Source organism: Homo sapiens, chromosome 3 (assembly GCF_000001405.40).
Source record: "Homo sapiens chromosome 3, GRCh38.p14 Primary Assembly".
NCBI classification, from domain to species: Eukaryota; Metazoa; Chordata; class Mammalia; order Primates; family Hominidae; genus Homo; species Homo sapiens.
The window spans coordinates 19,447,639-19,471,298 of NC_000003.12; the positions used below are offsets into that span (position 1 = coordinate 19,447,639).

The 23,660-nt window shown below is 36.0% G+C and overlaps 1 protein-coding gene and 1 long non-coding RNA gene across 7 annotated transcripts in view, besides 1 other annotated feature; one reads left to right on the forward strand and one right to left on the reverse strand.

The window, feature by feature from the left end:
• The window catches only part of KCNH8 (potassium voltage-gated channel subfamily H member 8), a 387,133-nt gene that overhangs the window by 299,129 nt on the left and 64,344 nt on the right, over positions 1–23,660 (forward strand). For 5 of the 6 annotated variants that reach the window (XM_017005698.3, NM_144633.3, XM_017005700.3 and 2 more), the window contains 3 exons: positions 2,468–2,667; positions 3,517–3,766; positions 9,130–9,344. In XM_017005698.3, the coding sequence (XP_016861187.1) occupies positions 2,468–2,667; positions 3,517–3,766; positions 9,130–9,344 (665 nt within the window). Of the gene's footprint in view, positions 1–2,467; positions 2,668–3,516; positions 3,767–9,129; positions 9,345–23,660 lie in introns of those variants that run through there. The other variant, XM_047447430.1, reaches the window with a different exon arrangement.
• The window catches only part of LOC105376982 (uncharacterized), a 97,844-nt gene that overhangs the window by 58,516 nt on the left and 15,668 nt on the right, over positions 1–23,660 (reverse strand). The gene's annotated exons all lie outside the window — the stretch shown is intronic.
• Positions 2,864–4,063: an enhancer, noted in NCBI's record as "BRD4-independent group 4 enhancer chr3:19491994-19493193 (GRCh37/hg19 assembly coordinates)". NCBI's record gives its function as "activates an origin of replication core promoter dependent on BRD2, P300/CBP, MED14 and CDK7 cofactors, and independent of BRD4, by STARR-seq in HCT116 cells {active_cell/tissue: HCT116}" and the evidence as "EXISTENCE:reporter gene assay evidence [ECO:0000049][PMID:35650434]".

Consider the following 23,660-nt stretch of genomic DNA (forward strand, 5'->3'; position numbering starts at 1 on the left):
GCCTGAAGTCGATGTTTAATTTCTTTGACTTGGAGCAGAATCAGTTCTTTTCTTTGGTGAGTGTTTATCATAAGTAGAGCTCTTATCTTCCAAATAAAAGACTTAAGCATCAGAACTGCTGTGCTTCTAAAACAATACAGAAGAATGAACCTCTATTTAGAATCTACAAAGAACAAATCCAACATTTAGTTGTTACACGATATATATTTTTCGTGGAATATTTTTGACCTGTTGGGAAACATTTAATTTTTGAACATTTAGGAATAATACATACTTATACATTCTTGCGTGTATCAAGCATTTATTGAGTATATTTTGAATTTATTTCATCAATAAGTTATGTCTACCAAGAGCCGCTCTTTACTATTTAAGAGGTTGCAGGAAAACCTTAAATCTGAGTCATTTTCCCCAAATTTAATTGCATTGAGCATGCTGAAAATTCATAACATGTTTCACTTTCATAAGGAAAATTACATAAACTGAGCAAATACTGTTTTTGATACATATACTAGGCACTTTTTAAAAAATACATTTGTCTTTAAATCTTGAAATAGCCCTATGAGTAAGGGCTATTTAACATAATGAGTATGCCCATTTAACATGAATCTGTTTAAAGGAATTATGTAACCTACCAAGTTCACACAATTAGGAAGTAGCAAAATCAGTATTCAAATCCAGATCTGTCTGATTCTGAAGTTCATCTTCTCTCTGCAACATTATATTGCTTCTTGTATATAGACCCTAAGTTTAACCCTATTCTAGTAGCTTTTCTAAAATACTGAGGTCTTGTTATGAAGGGAGTGATTTTATAGACATAGTGACCATTATTCCATAGAGAAATTATGTATTACCTAGGAAATAATTTTAATTCCAATGTAAGATTAGAATTAAGTTAGTATGCCAGTGTTTGGTAATTTCTGATAAATGTAGGGGGAGAACAAGATTTGAATTGGGGAGGTCCTGAAATACTCAGGAAGATAGAAGTAATAATATGTTGACATATTTGCACCAATGTATCCATTATGATGCTAAGAAATTTTTAACATAGCTTCTTGGGCACTAAGGTTTTGTACATGTACATTTTGATAGATCCTAATAGACAAGCTACTAAATGTTTAGTCTTTTTTTAAGCCCCAAATTACTGAAACAGATGATTTTACCCAACACATAAGCTTCATACTTCATTCCTAATCCTGTCCCAGAATAAGGATCAGGGATAAAATCTGAATATTACTTAGAGTTGAATTATCCATAAATATGAACGTGCTTGACCCTCATCTTTCTCTCAGTTTCACAGTTCCAGGTGTGTCCAAGGCCTTCTTGGATTATCTGCTGGTTTAGAAACCATTTCGGTTTCATTCTGCTAATGACTAGTGAGTGCAAAATCCTGTCATACCTTCTCTGACTTGATGATACCTAGATGCTTCCCAAAGTGGGTAATTCCTGGAAAGTGAGGTCCATCCTTTCACTCTACTGTTCTCCAGAAGAAATACCCACCCTAAATCTCCATATGCCCTCAAATTCTGGTGAACAAAATTGTTCATGTCATTACACTTTGATGGTAGGTTTGGGACAGGCTCAAAGGGCAGGCTTAGCAAGAAACTGGAGGTTAAATACTATCTGGTTGACAAACCTCATTGAAACAAGAGTCCCATATATATATATATATATATATATATACCCTGCTGGTGCATCTCATGGTGGCAACAAGGACTCTAAGCAGAATACCTCTTTTTCTCTGTGAATTCATTTGTTTCTTGAATGGTCTCAAATTTTCCAATATCTCCCTCAAAATTAAAATAACTGCAGAGCTGGGGTTGGGCTGGGTATTGGAGCTTCACACTGCTCAAGAAATCCTCAGTTACATTTTTAACAACTTCCTCCATATCTGCATTAATATAAATGTATCATATTTAATATTCTAAAACGAATTTTAAATGATGGCTTTTTGAGGGGGTGAGACTAAAATTCCCACAAAGGCTAACTAATTAAAATAGACTTATTTCAAAAATTTATTTCATTCATTACTATTATAAAAGTAATTATTAAACTATAACTTTATAGCTTTTCTATCAAACAATGAAGACTATTTTATTGTAACTATCAAACTATACATAACTATTAAAATAATATAGATGTAAATTGAGTTCAAATAAAAGTTTATCATAACCAGAATGGCAGCTAGCAGGTTAAACGTAAATCAAAGGGGCCTATTTTGCATATGATTGAGTATTTTTAAAGATATTTTTACTCTGATCAAGCCATATGGAATCAAAGTGACTGCTTCAGGATGTACCCTGTGACACACTGTCTGTACCAAAATGCTTGTACCAAAATAGCTGTATCAACATGGCCATGTAACCATGCTCTGCTCTGCTCTGATCCAGGATAAACTGTAAATTTAGATTTACGTGGTGGGCCTCATGTCACATTTCTCTTCCATTATATACTGTGTTGTTCTTTCTAGCCTTGATGCACGCCTTGGTGTTTGGAAACGTGACAGCAATCATACAGAGGATGTACTCCAGATGGTCCCTCTATCACACTAGAACTAAGGATCTGAAAGATTTCATCCGTGTCCATCACTTGCCCCAACAACTCAAGCAGAGGATGCTCGAATATTTTCAAACAACCTGGTCAGTCAACAATGGAATAGATTCAAATGAGGTAATGTTCATTTCTCATGTTGTTTTCAGGCAGAAAGCACATATTCTAAGGTAAACGCAAGATGTTCTAATGCAGGTATCAGAAGTGAAAAGCATACCAACTTCTTTATTCCTTTACATTTTTAATTATTCATGAATCCCAATCCATCTTCTTTCACTTGCTTTGGCTTGTGTTTTCACAATGCCAATTTGGATTGACCGAAGTTTTATATTAACTTGCTGCTTATTCGATCAGGTGGATTTATTTTCCTTCTTATTGTCTCTTTTCAAAGGAATCAATTCTTACGATAATTTAACAGTGTAATCTGGGATAATTATATTAATCAAGTTTCTGTTTCCCTTAACATCAATAAAGTTAAAAAATTCCATCAAAGGGGTTATCTTTATACTTCCAGAAACACCCCAGACTGCCACTATAAAAACAGTATTATATAAATCAACGAACCATTTCATCAACCCACCAGCCAAACCTGTAACCAACATTTTAGTAGTGATTAATTGGTTTCTCCTCTCTTCGCATAATCACCAGTGGGTCCAAATTCCATATCTTCTGTCCTGACTAGGACTCTCTGTGAGAAGGAAGTCACAATGAGTTATATGTTTTCCTGCTAGAGGCTTTTTTAATTTGTTCTGTTTCTCCAGACTTCTTATCAGCTGATTATTCAGTAGCACATAATTCACAGTCACTGAAAAATCTCTCCAGGATTATACATACTTAGATTTCCTCTTCTGTATGCTGGATGGCCAAACAGCAGGAGACAGTAGGAAGAGCATCCCTGCTGTCTTGCAAAGTAAATCAGTTAGACTACACTTACCCCAATTTGATTTCCTCCTTCATCTTCTCTGACAGCTTTTGAAAGACTTTCCAGATGAACTGCGTTCTGACATCACTATGCACTTGAACAAGGAGATCTTACAGTTGTCCCTTTTTGAATGTGCCAGCCGGGGCTGCCTCAGGTCTCTGTCTCTACACATCAAAACCTCTTTCTGTGCTCCGGGGGAGTATCTGCTGCGTCAAGGGGATGCTTTGCAGGCCATCTACTTTGTATGCTCGGGCTCCATGGAAGTTCTTAAAGACAGCATGGTGCTGGCTATTCTTGGTAGGTCTGAATTGAAAAACTTGTATGAAATTTGACTCTGGAGCATAAATTAAGAAGATGAAATGGGGGAAAAAACTGCTATTGAGAGTAGGAAAAGAACAGATGAAGACATGAACTCAGGAGTATTCCTCATATGAGTTTAGTGTGCCTATGTGTTATATCCAACATATTATTTAATTCTTGCAAAAAAATCCAGTAGTATAAATATTATCTCCATTTTAGACATGAATAAATAGTACTTTAGTTAACTAGCCCAGATCACCTAGTAAGAAAATAAACTCAGTTATTTTTTATTCCTAAAGCCAAATTATTAATCATGATATATACTGCCTTCTGGTGAAATAGCTGCTCAGTTTTAAGAGGGCATTTATTTTTGTGGAAAATTAATTCAGAGAACACAAAAATTAAATTGTACCTGTACTAGAAATAGAGCAAAGGTGACTATGTTTCAAGAAAAAGCTCTCATAGCAGTCATTAACCTAATACTGTCAAGGTGACTATAGGCTCTTTTTACTTCCTTAAAGAAAACTTACAAGATATATTGTGAAAATTTTGTGCCACAGAATTGACTCTCAATATTAATACATAATTGGTCTTCATTGAAATATAAAAGGCAGTTGACAAAAATGGCATGCAGAGTTAATGTATTGAAAATCTTATTTACAATTTTATGTAGGGCTCTTTTAAAAACCACTCTAGGCTGGGCACGGTGGCTCATGCCTGTAATCCTAGCGCTTTTGCAGACGAGGCAGGTGGATTGCTTGAGCCCATGAGTTCAAGACCAGCCTGGGCAACATGGACAGACCCTGTCTCTACTAAAAATACAAATAATTAGCTGGCCATGGTGGCAGGAGCCTGTAGTTCCAGCTACCTGGGAGGCTGAGATGGGAGGATCGCTTGAGTCCCAGAGGTGGAGGGTGCAGTAAGCCAAGATAGTGCCACTGAACTCCAGCCTGAGTGCAGAGAGAGAGAGACAGAGTCTCAAAAAAAATCACTCTAATTTTTGTTTGTTTATTCACCTAACGTTTATTGAGGACTTATGAATGAATTCAGTACTGGTCTAAACAGTGATAATGCAGCAAAAAAGAAATGGCCAAAATCCTTGCCTGCATGAAAATTAAACTGAAGTGGAAGATATAATGGGGTCTGAGACCAGCCAAGGTGGTAGTAATGATGGTGAGAGGCAGGTGAATTCAGGATGTATTTCAAACACCAATATAAAACACAATATTTAGAGTTTGTGCTAATAAAAGGGGGTGAATTCAGTACTTTATTTTCAATTTTTAAGAACCTTGTATTTGTAAACAATTATTTGCAAAGTGTGCTCACACACAAGGTCTCATTTAAGCCTTTACAACACAGAGAGACAGATGGTGAAGGTATTTTCTCTGATTTTTCTAAAGTCAAAGCTAACCTAAGACTTTGGACTCTGTATTCAGCATTCCTTCCATGTCTAAACAATATCTATTTTTCTAATTTTAAAAAAACCCTGCACTCATATGTTTATCACAGCACTATTTATGATATCAACAATATGGAATCAACCTAAGTGTTCATCATTGGATGAATGGATTAAAAATGTGGTACATATATGCAATGGAATACTATTCAGCCATAAAGAAGAATGAAATCATATATTTTGCAGCAATATGGATTGAACTGGAGGCCATTATCTTAAGTAAAATAACTCAGAAAAAGAAAGTGAAATACTACATGTTCTCACTTATAATTGGGAGGTAAATAAAGTGTACAGATGGACATAGAGTGTGGAATAATAGACACGGGAGACCAGGAAAAGTGGAAGACTGGAGGAGGGGCGTGAGGGATGAAAATAAATTAATATACAATGTACACCATTCAAGTGATGGTTACACTGAAAGTCCAGACTTCACCACTAGGCAATATATCTATGTAACAAAACTGCACTTGTATCCTTTAAATTTATGCAAATTTTAAAAAACCATTATTCTATATAATCATTGTAGGCCTTCTATCAATGGATTCTGGCTACTAAGCTTCAAAATAGATTATATTTTGGAAGAGAAAAAGAGAACTAATATGTATTGAATCCCTCATATGAGCTGGGTGTTTTATGCCCATTATTGAATTTAAATCATGCAATTTATTATTTGTGGGTTATGATCTGAATGTCTGCGTCCCCCCAAAATTGATATGTCAAAACCTAATCCCCAATATGATGGCATTAGGGGTGGGGCCTTGAAGAGGTGAATAGGTGATGAGGGCACAGCCCTCGTGAATGGGATTCGTGTCTTTATAGTAGAGGCTCAAGAGAGCTACCTTGCCCTTTCTCCCATGTGCGGACACAACGGAAAGGTGCCATTTGTGAATCACAAAATGAGCCCTTACCAAACACCAGCCTGCAGAACTATGAGAAATAATTTTTTTGTTTATAAGCTACCCAGTTTACAGTATGGCAACCTGAATAGACTAAGACAGTATGATTATTTTCAAAATTAAAGGTGAAGAGATAGACACTAGTGAATGATGAAAGACCCATATGCTTTTCACAGCTTCATGTTGACTTGTCTACCACTTAGAGTAAAGGTAGGGTTTGTCTTTCAAATTTGTGACTCAGTTCTTGTCTCATCCTCTTATGTTTTTCTCCTCAATAGAAAGGCATGAAATAGCAACTCAGAGTTTACTATTAATGTGGTCATTTCTTTATCAATATTAAAGTAAGGCTCAATAATAGAGTAACTCAATATTAGAGTAAGGCTTCTGTGTGTGTGTGTGTGTGTGTGTGTGTGTGTGTGTGTGTGTGTGTGTGTGTGTTTTCTTTCTTAAGGGGAGAATTTAACACTCTTCCTGGCCTCTTCTCAAGTTTGGGAAGTTAAAGGCCAGTCACCCTATCATCTTGTGATTCTAAATTAGAATTAATAATTATTCTTAATTTGTTTCAAAAACTTAACCTTAATCATAAAATATTTTTTATTGATTTTCCTTAGTACCACTAAACGTTTTATAGCCTGCCTAATGATTCAGCCTGTTTTTAAGAGGGCATCTAGACTTTCTCTTTAGCATCTTATGGTTTTGATATTCATGTTAGCAAATACAATGCAGCATTCTAAACAGACATAATGTGTATTTTTCTATAATTGTGGTGTATTTTAAATTTAGGTGGCTAGCAACAGTTTTAGGAATAGAATATGAAGGCATCATCCATGACACTAGAGCACAATAAGTACAGATTTAGTGGCTTCTATGTAACTTCCATTGCTAGTCAAATATGATTCAATTGGATATTTCTTGTTATGTTTTTTTAAAAACTACTTACGGCTGAAAGACTTAATTCATTATCTTTTGCTCCTGGCCCCAAGTTTCTCCATAAATTGTGATTAACATGGGTAATATTTTCACATCTTTGCTTCTACCATGTATACATCAAAAGTGCAAATTGCTGCATGACCATTCTAAACACTGGTATGTGGTACTGGGACTAAACTCAACAAAGACAATAAATGATTAATATTTACTTTCTGTGATTAACATTACTTCAATAAAGATTGATTATTTTACTTTCCCTATAGCAATATTGCCTTATAGGGCTAATTCAAATCAATAATACTTTGATAAACTTAGCAAGTACATGACATTATACTTGACCTGTAGATATTTAGCACATGTTCACTCTGCCAATGAAAAAAAGCTAATGTTCTTCTTCCTCACAACAGCTGTCCAACCATAAACTTGTTCTAGCAACTTTCTTGTCCAGTCAAGATGTGCAGACATTTCTTAATCTGATACCTGGAAAGGGTAGGGGCAGGAATTTGTTATGGGGCTAGAATGTGTTTGCCTTGTACACCTTGATTTCATGTCCAGGTAATAGTGTTTCCCCCACCAATTTCTTCATTGTTTTAAAAGAAAATGGCAAAGCCTGAATAAATGTACTCTCCACAGAACATTAGTCTGCCTAATTATAACTAAACGTAAGTTATAGCTCTAACCTGGGTGGTTTGCAGATGCATCCCATCACCTTATGTTTTTCAATGAAAGAGTAACTGATTAGCAAAGATCAATAGTATAATGCTGAAAAATGGAGCCCACAAGGAAATCTTTCTCATCTTTTAGAAATAAGGATACTGAGACCCAAAGTTACTTAAAAACTTAACTAAAGGTCCTAAATCTAGACAGTAAGAAGGCCACAAGACTGTAAAATTAGTGAGGTAGTTTTAGGTAATGAGGTGAATACCAACATGGTATTCACCAGTACCTGCTTGCCAGGACTCAATACAAGGTCCAGCACGCGTGGTCAGTTCTCCATAAATATTCATTGAACGAATAAATGAAGTGGAATTCTTTCTAGGATGCCAAGATTGGCAGGATGTTGGTGCTGTTTTTATAGCTAATGTCATTGTGACTGAAATAGCCATACCATGGCAACCCAAAGTATGAAAAGTATGATGACCCGAAAGTTATTGCAGACACTAGTTGCTTAGCAGAGAATGTGAATGCTTATTGTGCAAGAGACTGCATCATGATAAATTCTCCTCAAATATACAAAATTTAAAAATTTGCTGTATTCAAAACATTTTGGCTATATTTACATCCTGCATCAGTATCCAACTTTGAGTTTTGAGCAGCAAGTTAGATTTCTAATGAAATATACAAGAAACAAAATTTCCAAGTTTAGCAATATTGACAACAATAAATCAGACTTAAATTCTTCCACACCATGTGGCTATGTATTATTCCTAGTGTCTATAAATATAGATTTTAGTCTACTTTTTCTTCTACCAAAATAGGCTAAATTTCAAGGTTTAAGTCCAGTACTAACTTGAAGATAATACCTAGTTGTAATCTAATAATTTTAAAACTCTATTTTTTATTTGACATACATATTTATGAAAAACTCAGATATTCATAGTCAATTTGACATGTTTTCTTTTACTGTCAAATCTGATAAAACAGACTTGTATTGAAGCCTGCTACATACCAGGGACTTTGCTTCCACAAATGCTGGGCACAATAAAAAATAAAAATTTTAAACAATGCTGGGTACAATAAAAAATTTAAAAGTTAAAAAAATTGTTGAATGGGAAGTAGAGGCCATTTGTCATAATAACATTCCAAAGATATAGCTTGCTTGCTGCTTGTTGTTGTTAGTTAAAATTTGTTAGTTGTTGGTTCTTTATGAAATTGAGCATAATGGCCATAAAACAAATAAAAGCTAAAGCCCAGGTATGATGCTATTGTATGCCAAAGTTGAAAAGCCCTGCCCCAAGGTAAACATTCTTCTCTTTTCAGTGTAATCTCACTGAAAAATGAAGCCTGTAAGTCAAATGAGGTTATCAGTCCTAAGCTTGCTTTTTTTTTTTGAAAATGATCTCTCTCTCTCTTTCTAGGGAAAGGGGATTTAATTGGAGCAAATCTATCAATTAAGGACCAAGTGATCAAGACCAATGCAGATGTAAAGGCTTTAACCTACTGTGATCTCCAGTGTATCATCCTCAAAGGACTCTTTGAAGTGCTAGACCTTTACCCAGAATATGCTCACAAATTCGTGGAAGACATTCAGCATGACCTCACATACAACCTCCGAGAAGGTCATGAGAGTGATGTAAGTCCCATTTCTAATTAGTGCTAAGACCTAATAACATTGGGCCTGGAGATCATTTGTAACAGTAAAGGCAGATGTCATGACCTCACCTTAAAAAGTCTCTGAATATCTAAGACGTGAATATTCAGCCACCAGTTAAGCAATTAAATAATTAGCGAGAAGCCAAACCTAGAGTTTGTTATTAACATTCTAGGAAAATATTTTTCATGAATGACTTCTCAACTCAGTTTCTTTCTTGTTTCTTTTCATATGCTTAAAACTACAATCCATTTCAGTTATATATAACATTAGGTAGAGATGTGTGATTTCTCCAGAATTTAAAGATTTCCAGATGAAGTATATGGTTCAGTTTGCTGTGTTTGTAATTGTTCACTACTCCAATTGCTTGACATAGATTTTGCTTAAAAATAATCTTTTATTTAATGGTACACAAAACAGTCTATCTTAAAGTGAGTAAATATGCATAAAAGGATTCAAGCGAAGGATTGTCACACTGAAAGCATAATGAACATTTTATGCAATTATATATTTGCTGCAAGTTTCGTATTAGACAAACAGCTTTCCTGTCAAAATATGTACTATACTGCATCCTGTGATTAAGCTGATCGTGAACATGACTTCATTAGATGTCTCAGAGAGAGACATGATTTAATAGGAATGATTGTTGAAAGGCAAGCCAAGGCATGCATAGCATTGTGTAACAACAAGCCTTTATATGCTGTCTTGAGCTTTGTCCCAGATATTTGTAACTCTTGATTTTTTTCCTATGTACTTAAGAAGCTATGGTTTGGACCAACCCATATTGTGCAGATATTCATGTCAATCATTAGTATTCTCTGCTTTGAAAGGTAGAAAGAAAACTTAAATTGTGTATTATTTTATCTTGGTTGGGGCTATCTAATGACAGTAAGTATGTAGATAATATCCCATTATGAGGTTCAAGATGACCAGTTTTGCATATATGCTTCTCTCCATTGTTGATAGCAAACAGCAGAGTAGGTACCAACATTTACTGGCTATGTTTTATGTGTTAAGCACTCTACCTATGTAAAGCATCTCATTTATTGCTTAAGACAAATCTTTAAGGTAAGTCTTGATCTATTTTTATGGAAGAGAAAACAAATTCAGAATGGTTAAATCACGTGTGTATGTTCACACATACTTGCAGGTGGCTGGGTCAGAGTTTCAACATAGGTATCAGAGTTTAAAACATATATTGTTTCTGTTAAATATGTTGCCTCATCTTGAAATCCTTTTCATGTCTTTTAAAAAAAATCAGTAGATTGAATTTTAAAACTACAGGTGTCTTTTGTGCTCACCATGACAGCATAAAATGACAATTGTTTTGAAAATCAAAGGTGAGTTAGGGGGTGGAAGTAATCAAAGAGAAGAAGAAATTAGCAAAGAGAGAAAAATCGCTAATATTCCTCAGCATAGAAAGTGGGAAATATTGGATCTCAATCTCTATTTTATTTCATTTGACTTATTAAGGATCCTTATCTTTTTAAAAAATTCGTGGCATACAAAATGATGTTTTCAAATATGTATACATTTTGGAATGGCTAAATCACGCTAATTAATGTATGCATTTCCTCACGTTTATCATTTATTTGTGGTGAGAACACTTAAAATCTCCTCCCTTAGCAATTTTCAAGTGTACAATACATCGTTATTAACTAGAGTCACCATGTTGTACAACAGATCTCTTGAACTTATTTCTCCTAGCTTAAACTCTGTATCCTTTAAGCAACGTCTTTCTAATCTCTTCTGGACCTGCAGCCCCAGCTCATGGTAACCATCATTGTACTCTCTGCTTCTTTGAGTTCAAGGTATTTTAGATTCAGTATATAAATGAGATCATGTAGTATTTGTCTTTCTATACGTGGCATATTTCACTAAGCATAATGACCTCCAGTTTCATCCATGTTGTGGCAAATGACAGGATTATCTTCTTTTTTAAGGCTGAATAGTATTTCATTGTGTATGTATACCACATTTTCTTTATTCATTTGTCTGTTGTTGGACACTTAGGTTAATTCTGTATCTTGGCTATTATGAATAATGCTGCAATGAAAATGGGAGTGCATATATCTCTTTAAGATACTGATTTCATTCCTTTGGATATATACCCAGTATTAGGACTTCCAGATCATATGGTACTTCTATTTTTAATTTTTTTAAAGAACTTCCCTACTGTTTTCCATAGTGGCTATAATGATTTACATTTGCACCAACAGTGTGCAGGGGTTCCTTTTTTTTCACATCCTTGCCAAAATTTCTTTGTTGTTGTTTTTTTTAAAATAGCCCTTCTAATAGGTGTGGTTTTAATTTGCATTTTCCTAATGATTAGCAATATTGAGCATATTTTCATATAACTGTTGGCCTTTTGTATGTCTTTTCCTGAGAAAAGTTCATTCTGGTCATCTGTTTTAAAAATCAGGTTATTTAATTTCTTGTTATTGAGTTGTTTATGTATTTATTGTTGTTACTGAGTTGAGTTTATGTATTTTGCATATTAACTCCTTATCAGATGTATGATTTGCAAATATTTTCTCCCATTCTGTAGATTGTCTCTTGATTCTGTTGATTGTTCCTTTTCTGTGCAGAGCTTTTAAATTTGATATAATTCAATTTATCTGTTTTTGCTTTTGTTGCCTGTGCTTTGGAGTCATATCCAAAAACATCATTGTCCAGACCAATGTCATGGAGCTTTCCCCTATGTTTTCTTTTAGAGTTACATAATTTCAGTTCTTACATTTAAGTCTTTATTCATTTTGAATTTGTTTGTATATGGTGTAACATAAAGATCTAATTTTATTCTTCTGCATGTGGAAAAGGAATTTTTATCTTTGATAAAATTTTCATGATTCTTTTTCTATCTTCTAGAACATTAATTATAGTAATTTAAAAATCCCTGTATACCTGAATTATCTCTGGAATTATTTCCATTGTCTGTTATTTTTCTCTTTTTCTGTCTCTCTCTCTCTCTCTCTGTCATTTGTTCTTTTTTGGTCATTTAGTTCTCATTTTAAAAAAGGAAAAGCGGGTGTCAGAATTTTGTTTAAATATAGATGTTGCTTATTAAAGATTGTTCATGTCATTTTCCTCAAAATAAGATTTTCTTTTCACAGGCAAACAGTATCAGCAAACCAACTTAATGCTGACCATAGTTTATTTTAGGCTTTGTTAAGGTGGCATATTTCAATTTTGCCCTCAATCCTGAGGTCTAGCCTTTATTCCTAAAACAGCTTTTCTGGAGTCTCAGCTCAAACCATAGTATGTTTACCAAGGCTCTTCCTATTTAGCAGAGCCTGAGCTCCAGCCTCCATCTCCCCAACACCACGTGACTGCTGAAATCTCTATCCTGTAATTTAGCCTTCTAGGTGCTATTTTAATCTGTTTCTTAGAGTACTACCCCTTGCTGTTCAAGTTAGGAGTTGGCTAATGCCTTAAAGGGAACATCAATGCAGTTTACTTCTCTCTGGTATTATATTCCTCAAATCCCTTATGCTTTGGTTTACCTGAACTTCTCTGTCTCCTTAGTTGGTAAGGATGGTCCTTTCTCATCTCTTCTATTCTATCTTACAATGAAATAGCAAGTGCCTGCAGAAAAACTCCTAGCCAAATGTGATGCTCTCATTGGTGCACTTCTCTTTTCTTAGGGATCACGTCCTTCAAGTCTTAAAGTTGATTTCTCTCAAATTCCTTCAAGAAGTTTCATATGGTTTGACTGTGTATCTCATCTTGAATTGTAGTTCCCATAATCCCCACATATCATGGGAAGGACCAGGTGGAGATAATTGAATCATGGGGGCAGTTTCGCTCATCCTGTTCTTGTGATAGTGAGTTAATTCTCATAAGATCTGATGGTTTCATAAGGGGCTTCCCCTTTCACTGGACACTCATTCTTCCTCTCCCTGCTGCCATGTAAAGAAGGACGTGTTTGCTTCCCCTTCTGCCATGATTGTAAGTTTTCTGAGACCTCCCCAGCCATGCTGAACTGTGACTTAATTAAACTTAATTCCTTTATAAATTACCCAGTCTCAGGTATGTTTTTATTAGCGGCATGAGAACAGACTAATGCCCAGTTATTTTACTAATTTTGTCCAGTTTGATAATTACTTTTGATTGGAGGGTTAGTTCAATATAAGTTACTTCATTATGGCTGGAACCAAAAGTATTGCTTCTTTTCAAAGAGGACTCCTTATGAGTTACATTTTAAAGGCAGATGGGACCTTCATTGTTTTATACTTCCTGATGTTTTATCCCTCAAAACTTCTATTTATATATAACTGAGAGTCTAGGGGATACTATGCCCTCTAAGGGCTAGATAAGTTTGGACCTCTGTTTCTATAAGTTTGTACCTAGGGGAAAAGTCTTGTGCACTCCCCAAGCATACTGTGACTTTCAGGGGAACTTGTATTCTGATGATTACATTATGGATTCCTGTTCTCTACCCTGGTGTCAGACTAACTGTAGAAGCAAGCCCCTTTCCTTGATTTTCACAGACAAAACCAAAAATATCCAGTCACACAGGATTTTCTGTGGTTAAAGGCTTTGTGGAAATTTAAGTGATGGGTTGTGGGAGGAGGAACATTTGCAAAATGGAAATGTACACAACATAAATGTAACTTATCTATACATCCTTATTTTTAAAAGTCATGTGGCCACTCTGCCATGTTTTTTGTTTCTTTGTTATTATACTTTAAGTTCTAGGGTACATGTGCACAACGTGCAGGTTTGTTACATAGGTATACATGTGCCATGTTGGTTTGCCGCACCCATTAACTTGTCATTTACATTAGGTATTTCTCCTAATGTCATCCCTCCCCCTCCCAACCACCCCACAACAGGCCCCAGGGTGTGATGTTCCCCGCCCTGTGTCCAAGTGTTCTCATTGTTCAATTCCTACCTATGAGTGTCCTTGTGATAGTTTGCTCAGAATGATGGTTTCCAGCTTCATCCATGTCCCTACAAAGGACATTAACTCATCCTTTTTTATGGCTGCATAGTATTCCATGGTGTATATGTGCCACATTTTCTTAATCCAGTCTATCATTGTTGGACATTTGGGTTGGTTCCAAGTCTTTGCTATTGTGAATAGTGCCACAATAAACATATGTGTGCATGTGTCTTTATGGCAGTATGACTTATAATCCTTTGGATATATACCCAATAATGGGATCACTGGGTCAAATGGTATTTCTGGTTTTAGATCCTTGAGGAATTGCCACACTGTCTTCCACAATGGTTGAACTAGTTTACAGTCACACCAACAGTGTAAAAGTGTTCCTATTTCTCCATATCCTCTCCAACATCTGTTGTTTCCTGACTTTTTAATGATTGCCATTCTAACTGGTGTGAGATGGTATCTCATTGTGGTTTTGATTTGCTTTCTCTGATGACCAGTGATGATGAGCATTTCTTCATGTGTCTGTTGGCTGCATAAGTGTCTTCTTTTCAGAAGTGTCTGTTCATATTCTTCACCCACTTTTTGATGGGGTTGTTTGTTTTTTTCTTGTAAATTTGTTTAAGTTCTTTGTAGATTCCGGGTATTAGCCCTTTGTCAGGTGGGTAGATGGCAGAAATGTTCTCCCATTCTGTAGGTTGCCTGTTCACTCTGATGGTAGTTTCTTTTGCTGTGCAGAAGCTCTCTAGTTTAATTAGATCCCATTTGTCAATTTTGGCTTTTGTTGCCATTGCTTTTGGTCTTTTAGTCATGAAGGCTTTGCCCATGCTTATGTCCTGAATGGTATTCCCTAGGTTTTCTTCTAGGGGTTTTATGGTTTTAGGTCTAACATTTAAGTCTTTAATCCATCTTGAATTAATTTTTGTATAAGGTGTAAGGAAGGGATCCAGTTTCTCATATGGCTAGCCAGTTTTCCCAGCACCATTTATTAAATAGGGAATCCTTTCCCCATTTGTTTTTGTCAGGTTTGTCAAAGATCAGGTTTGTCAAAGATAGATGTGTGAGATTCAACCAACCACCAATCAAAATCATCAAAAAGTGGTGTCTGTACTAAATATGTACACACGTTTTTTCTTATCATAACTCCCTAAACAATACAGTATAACAACTATTTACATAGAATTTACATTGTATTAGGTATTATAAGTAATCTAGAGATGATTTAGAGTATACAGGAGGATGTGCATAGGTTATACTATGCCATTTTATATCAGGGCTTAGAGCATCTGAGGATTTTCATATCTGCAGGACGTCCTGGAACCAGTCTCTCAGATACTAAGGGACCACTGTACCTATATAATGATAATTCATTGCAAAAGTTTCAGAGTAGTCCTATGCATTAAGTTAACACAAATATAAATAAACATAATTGAATGCAAAAGTTTCATACTAGTAGTATGCATAAAGTTAATAGAGGACAAAATGGAAGAATATATCCATAATGTCTAAACCCATAAGGGTTTGGTCAAAAAGTAAAAAGTATTACTGTTAGAAAAATGGGCAAAATATATGTACAGGCAATGTGTAGATGAAGAAACACAAAAGACAACAAGCAGATAAAAAATATGCTCAAAAACATTAGAAATATAAAAATGAAAATAAAAAACAAAGGCGTAAACTTTTAAATTCTTAGAATACCAACCTTATGGAGAAGATTAATAAAAGTGTATAGGAACTTATGCAGTTATTGGTGGAGAATATAGTCTTGTGTATCCATTTTGCAGAAAAATATGTCACTACTTAGTCCATTTAAATATATATACAGCCTATGACCTCTCAATTTCAAAGTGTATCCAAAAATTTTACATACAGGTCTATAACGGGGATTGTATGGGGATGTTCATTGTAGCTCTGCTTATTGTGGACAAGAGTTAAAAGCAACCTGGGTATTCATCACTGGAAGACCAGGTTCAATAAAATATGGTGCATAACAGAATTCTGTATAGCAGTGACAGTATATGTAAGTATGTAAAATGTAGGATTTATTGACAAGATAAGAAACAGAATGATATCTGAAACAATACCGCTTGCGTAAATTAAAATGTACTCAAATCAGTGTACAATTTCCTAAGCTAATTATAAACTAAAATACCAGAGGACTTTCTGTACATTGAAATACCAAAGACTGTCAATACCTAAGACAGTCCAGAAGAAGAACAAAATTTGAGGATTTATGCTGTCACACTAACAAAACTTTAGAAACTAAACCTACAGTAATTCAACCAAAGAGGTATGAATGCAAGGCTGTACAATTTCAATAGAACAGGTTCCACAAACAGGCCCACACTTTATGGTCACCTGATTTATCACAAGTTGCTATAGTGAAAAAAATGGCAGTTTAGACTATCAATTAATGATGATGTATTAACTTAAAGCTTACATGGAAGAAAATAAACCGTGGCCTAAAAGTTGGCCCATGAGATACTTAAAACTCAATTCCAGATGGATTGCAGACCTAAACGAAAGAAAAAACAATAAAGTTTCTAGAAGAAAACATTGCAGAATATCATTATGACCTTGGAATAGCAAATATTTCTTGAGGAGGACATGGACTGTAATAACAATAAAGGAAAGAGAAATTTACTAAAATGAGGAACTTTTATTCATCAAAAGACAGCAGTAACAGAATAAAAAGGGAAGCTGAAGAATGGGAGAAGATATTTGCATCACATATATTTGAAAAAGAAAGAATATCCCGAATGTATTAAAACTCCTAAAAATAAGTAAGAAAAAGACATATACTTCAGTTTTTAAAATGAGGAAAACGATCAGGCACTTTTCAAGTGGCTGATATCCAAATGGCCACTTGCCATTATCCAAATGGCATATCCAAATGGCCAACAGTTTGATCATTTACTTCTTGTACACCTCTTCCCTCCTCAGTCTTTTATCTAAGTTAGTAAATGACATCATCATCTACTCTATTGCTCATAGTAAAATAATTTAATAAATTATAGTGAGAATGATATGATTAGTATCAAGATAAGTAATTGAGATTAGCAGAAATAGCACCCAAGATGCCAAAATAATTAAAAGGAAATATGAATAGGTAACTCAAGAAAAGTTTTGAAGGCATTACTTAGAAGATTTTCTTTTCTTTTATTCTGCTTCTCTATATTTCAATAATGCTGGAGAAATCTTTAGCAATTCATAAGTTTTACTTGTCAACTTAAGGAAGAAGATGCCATCTAGGAATTTCATAGCTAGAGAAGTCAGTGCCTGGCTTCAAATCTTCAAAGGACAGACTGATTCTCATTAGGAGCTAATGTAGCTGGTGACTTTAAGTTGAGGCTAATGCTCATTTGTCATTCCAAAAATCCTAGGGCCCTTAAGAAGTATGCTAAATCTTTTCTGCCTGTACTCTATAAATGGAACAACAAAGCCTAGATGTAGTACATCTGTTTACAGTATGGTTTACTGAATATTTTAAGCCCACTGTTGAGACCTAGTGCTCAGAATAAAAGATTCCTTTCAAAATATTACTGCTCATTCATTGACAGTATACCTTGTTACCCAAGAGCTCTGATGGAGATATGCAAGGATATTAATGCAGTTCTCATGCCTGCTAACACAACATCTATTCTGTAGCCCATAGATGAGGTGTAATTTCAACTTTCAAGTCTTATTATTGAAGAAATATATTTTGTAAAGCTATAGCTGCCATAGATAGTGATTTCTTTGATGGACCTGGATGAATTAAGTTGAAAACACTCTGGAAAAATTTTGGCATTCTAGATGCCATTAAGAATATGTGTGATTCCTGGGAGGAGGTCCAAATATCAACATTAACAGGAGTTTGGAAGAAGTTGACTTTAATCCTCATGGATGACTGAGGGGTTCCAAACTTAAATGAAGGAAGTCAGTGCAGATCTGGTGGAGATAGCAAAAGAATTAGAATTAGAAGTGGAGCCTGAAGATGTGACTGAATTGCTGCAATTTTATGATAAAACTTTAACATATAAGAAGTTGCTTCTTTATTTTATTTTATTTATTTATTTATTGAGATAGGGCCTCACTCTGTTGCACAGGCTGGAGTGCGGTGGCATGATCACAGCTCATTGGAGCCTTGACCTCCTGGGCCCAAGAGATCCTCCAACCTCAGCCTCCCATGCACGGGCATGCACCACCACACCCGGCTAATTCTTTTTTATATTTGTAGAGATGAGGTCTCGCTATATTGCTTAGGCTGGTCTCAAACTCCTGGGCTCAAGCAATCCTCCTGCCTCAGCCTCCCAAAGTGTTGGGATTACAGGTGTTAGCCACCATACCCAGCCAGGAGTTGCTTCTTATGAATGAGTGAAGTGGTTTCTTGAGATGGAATCTACTCATGGTGAAGATGTTGTGAACATTGTTGAAATGACAACAAAGGATTTAGAATATTACATGAACTTAGTTTATAAAGCAGTGGCAGGGTTTGAAAGGCTTGACTCCAATTTCAAAAGAAGTTCTACTGTGGGTAAAATGCTATCAAACTGTACCGTATGGTACAAAGAAATCACTCATGAAAGGAATAGTCCAATTGATGTCACAAACTTCATTGTTGTTTTATTTTCAGAAATTGCTGCAGCCACCCCAGCCTTCAGCAGCCACCACCCTGATTAGTCAGCAGCCATCAACATCAAAGCAAAACCCTTCACCAACAAAGAGATTATAACATACTGCAGACTCAGATGATTGTTAACATTTTGTAGCAATACATTTTTTTTTTTTTTTTTTTTTTTTTTTTTTTTAGATGAAGTCTCGCTCTTGCCGCCCAGGCTGGAGTGCAATGACACGATCTCAGCTTACTGAGATCCATCTCCCTGGTTCAAGCGATTCTCCTGCCTCAGCCTCCCGAGTAGCTGGGATTACAGGCATGTGCCACCCTGCCTGGCTAATTTTGTATTTTTAGTAGAGATGGGGTTTCTCCATGTTGGTCAGGCTGGTCTCGAACTCCCTACCTCAGGTGATCTGCCTGCCTCAGCTTCCCAAAGTACTGGGATTACAGGCGTGAGCCACTGCGCCCGGCCAATAAAATATTTTTAATTAAGATATGTATGTTGTTTTTAGACATACATAAGTCTATTAATGCACACTTAATAGACTACAGTATAATGTAAACATGACTTTTATATCCACTGGAAAACAAAAATTTCATATGACTCACTTTACTGAGATAGTAACTTTATTGTAGTGGTTTGGAAGTGGTCTGAGGTATGCCTGTATCATAACTCAGTTTCAGGGGATTCATTGACCCTTTCAATATCGTATAGAGAGTCCATAAAATTCCAATTAAAAATATACATGTTAAAATATCCTGAGGGAAATATAGTGGCCCTTGTCTCCTTTCGCAGATTCATGTATAAGTAGACACACACACACACACACACACACACATGTGCACACACACAAATATATAACCAAGCAACCTGCAAAGAAGGCATGGGATAAACATCATTAACAGCTGCCATTTCTGATTGCTTTCTCTGTGATAGACACTGTGTATGCATTATCTGGTGAAATCTTTGACAGTCATGCAACTTGGGTACAGTTATATTCACCAGCTGTACAAAGTATGTGTTTCCTTTGTCAGGAATAAGCTGAACTCTAATGTATGAGTCAACTTGCCTTCAGTAGCCCATGGGGGCAGGGAAGAATGTGTTTGTGGGAGCACGGGGGGCATGGTGGGAGTAGGAGCTGAAACATACCTACCTGACCATGACAAATGAGATTCAATATAGTGATTCTCCCTGCCTCCACTTGTATCCTCTTATGACCTCAAGGCTACAGGAGTAATCTTTGTAAAATATAAATCAAACTGTCTCATTTTGCTGCTTGAAATAGATCCCCATGGGCTGGTAGTAACATCCAGACTTTTTATCATAACTTTCAAGGTTCTAAGCCTTCCTTTCCCAGCCTGCCTTTCAAAGTCATCTGATGCCATCTTGCCTCCAGCATTACACTCCAGCAAACTGGCCTGCTTTCCCTTCCTTAGGGAGGCAGGCTCCACCCACCTCACTCCCTCCCTCCCCTCCTCCCCACCTCTGCTGCCTCAGGGCCTTTGCATTTGATCTTCTTTCTTCCTGTTGTGCTACTCCTCTGCCCTTACCTGACAGTCTGCTCTGGAGTTTGCCCTCTCCCAGTTATCCTCTGTTATATCACCTTGTTTGTCTTTTTTCATGGCATTTAGCAGGATCTAATATTATTTTAATTTGTATATTTTCTTGCTCATGATTAGTTTCTCCTACCAAAACCTATTTTATGAAACCTTTGTCTTGTTCTATACTATAGCCCCAGTGCCTAGGTCAGAGCCTAATGCAGAGTCAACATTTAATATATATTCAATGAATGAATGAACAAATGTCAATAAGTTTACTTTGGTGCCTGGAACTAATGTTAAGTTTTAAGAAAATGAAGAAAGTCCTGAAGACAGCGGCCTCTATGGCCAGTAAGTAGAGTCTAAAATGAGAAGCAAAAAACAATTTAGGATTATATCTGTTAGACATAGCAAAGCCAAAAAAAGTATCAATACTAGGATTTGAAAGAACAAATTGAAAGAACGGCTAAATTGAATAACAACATTTTTCACTTCCCCTAAGTTCAGGAAAAGAGATTTTCAAAAGCAACATGAGGAATTTAAGCTGAATAATAGGGGAAAAATAAAGATTGCAATCTGAGTAATATTTCTCCAGGTGGTTTGATATAGTAAGTAGGGTTAAAATAAAAGATCTGCCTTCAAATCTCAGCTAATGTGCCCATTTTCTACATCTAATTTCCATGAACTATTGAGTTACGTCTACTTGAACCTCTTGGCACTGGGCAATTTCTTGTGTAATTAAGCTGTGCTATATCCATGAGATTCGACTTCATGATTCCTTCCTTAGATAAAAACAAGCCTGACTAGATCTTTCGAATGAAGTTTTTGATTTGCAAACATCTCTTGATGCCTATGTGACTATATTACGATTTAATTCAATTCAAGAATGTACTGAAAAGGGAGCTATTCCAAGAAGAGACTTATTTTAAATTTAGTCCCCATTTCAGTCTGAAATAAAATTGGGCTGCTTAGAAGCAATTTTCTTGAAAATGATTTATTGAATATTAATAATTTTTTAAATCATATCTGACAGCCCAGATACTTAATTCTTCAAAAGTAGCCTGTGTGTAGGTGTGCATCTGCTAGCCGAGTCCTGCATAATAACAGAACATAATTAATTCTTCACTTTTCTGAGATAATTGTTCTTAGAAAATTGCATACTAAAGGACTCACATGTCATTTTACCATGTCAGCTTTCCTTGTTATCTCAGGCCCAACAAGTGTTTTGTCAGTTGTGTACTTTAAAATACTCTCCCTCAGGAAGCAAAAACACTTCCATGAAATATCTTGCAGTGAACTGTTTTACACTTTTATGCTGCTTAAGAAAATGTTAGATAGGAAAAGCTCATTAAATAATGGCCTGGGAATTGTACTTGGATCCAGTATGTTTTTTTTGTTGTTGCTGTTGTTGTTTTTTGTTTTTTGTTTTTGAGATGGAGTCTCGCAGCATCACCCGGGCTGGAATGCAGTGGCGCGATCTCGGCTCACTGCAACCTCTGCCTCCGGGGTTCAAGTGATTCTCCTGCCTCAGCCTCCCAAGTAGCTGGGATTACAGGCACCCGTCACAGTATGTTTTTTATATTCTGAAACTTTCCTCCTACTGATGTCTTTCAGTAGATTCAGAAGTGATTGTGGCAAACATAGTATCTTGAAGGAAGAGATCGTGTTTTGATTAGCATCTCCCGAGCCTAGTTTTGTGTTTATGTTCATGGTATTGAGGAAATAAAGATCAATTTGGACTTCTTGCACCTGTTAATACATCCTAGTTCCTGACTGCAGCAAAATGACTCTCAGTGCCCCTTCTCTTCTTAGTGATTGCCTAAGATGACAGCTTCATTCCCTTTATTATTATCCACCTTCTTCCCATCTTCATTGTTTTCTCAGTGAGGACTGGACTCTACTGGACTCCACTGGAGTCCAAGGTCATGTTCCCTTGTAACCCTGAAGTTCTAGACTCCTACCTCAGAAAAATGAAAGCTTGATACTCCATAAATCAAAGGAAAGTAGTTACTTTCACCCTTTCTCAAATTATATTTAATTTTTTTTTAATTCTTATTTTAGGATAGAACTAGTGTGGGACATTGCAAAAGGGCCATCCTGGGAATCCTGTTAAGTTTGGAGGTAATTCAGAATGAGGACATTGATTGTAAACAATAGACATTCAACTCAAATATAGCATTAAAAGAAGGGGAGATTTAATGTAAGAATTCCAAGTATCTAATGGGATCAAATAAAACACATGCACACATACCACAAGTACCCGCTGGATCTCAGGAACTCTTACAGTCAGGCTCTCAAACTCTAAACATTATCTCTCTGTTTCTTACTTTTCCTTTTCTCTGCATTTCCTCTTCATTCTTCTCTCCTTCAGTAGACTTGCCATCTTATTTCCTGCATCCAAATGGCAGAAATATGGTCTCAGACATCAGCTCTTCAATTTAAATAGGAGCAGAGTAAGGTGGACTTTCTTAGTTGATTCTAGATTCTTGTGTAAAGACTCTGAGTGGTTCAGATTTAAGTCACATGCCCATCCAGCTTTCACTAATTATTGTGAATGGCAGAGTGATCGGGGGCTTCAAGGATGAAGAGAGATCACCCTGTAGTAGCATGGTGGTTTCCATGGAATCCCTGAGGGCTGAAGAGTTGAGATAAGAGACAAGAACGAGAAAGAGGGTGGGTAGGCAGAGGTAGCTGCTGGACACATAAAGCAAAGATAGAAATTGTATGAATTGTGGGTCTCCTTTGTGCTGTGGCATTATAGTTTGTCTCCATGCAATCATATCTCAGCAACATTTTCACAGAAACCCAATCCCTTATAAAAAATATATTAAAATAAAAACATATTAAATAGGGAGCACATAAAAAGCTTTAAAATATGCTGCAGTGGCTCATGCTTCATCTTTTCTGGGTTCTCTCCTGTGTGGCCTCTTGTTAGTCAAAGAGCACGACATATACCCTGCAAAGAGATCAACCACATTTTTAGTGGCATCTGGATATTTCAACTTACGTTTGCAAGTTGAACAGTAAGCAGTTAGATTTTTAAGTTTGTTTATGGGGAAGGGGAGTTTAGTTGGGCTGGGAAAGGGAGAGAAAGAAAAGGCCACCTGCCATACCATGAACAAGACAAAAAAGTTTTTCTTTCTTTTCTTCCTTGGTTGCTTCCATCCTGAAGAGAACAGCAGATGTTCAGCCTTAAATAAAGTGTTAAATTTGCATATGCACACACATACCCACAAACAGGCATGGCTCCATTTACATGTATTCCTTGAGA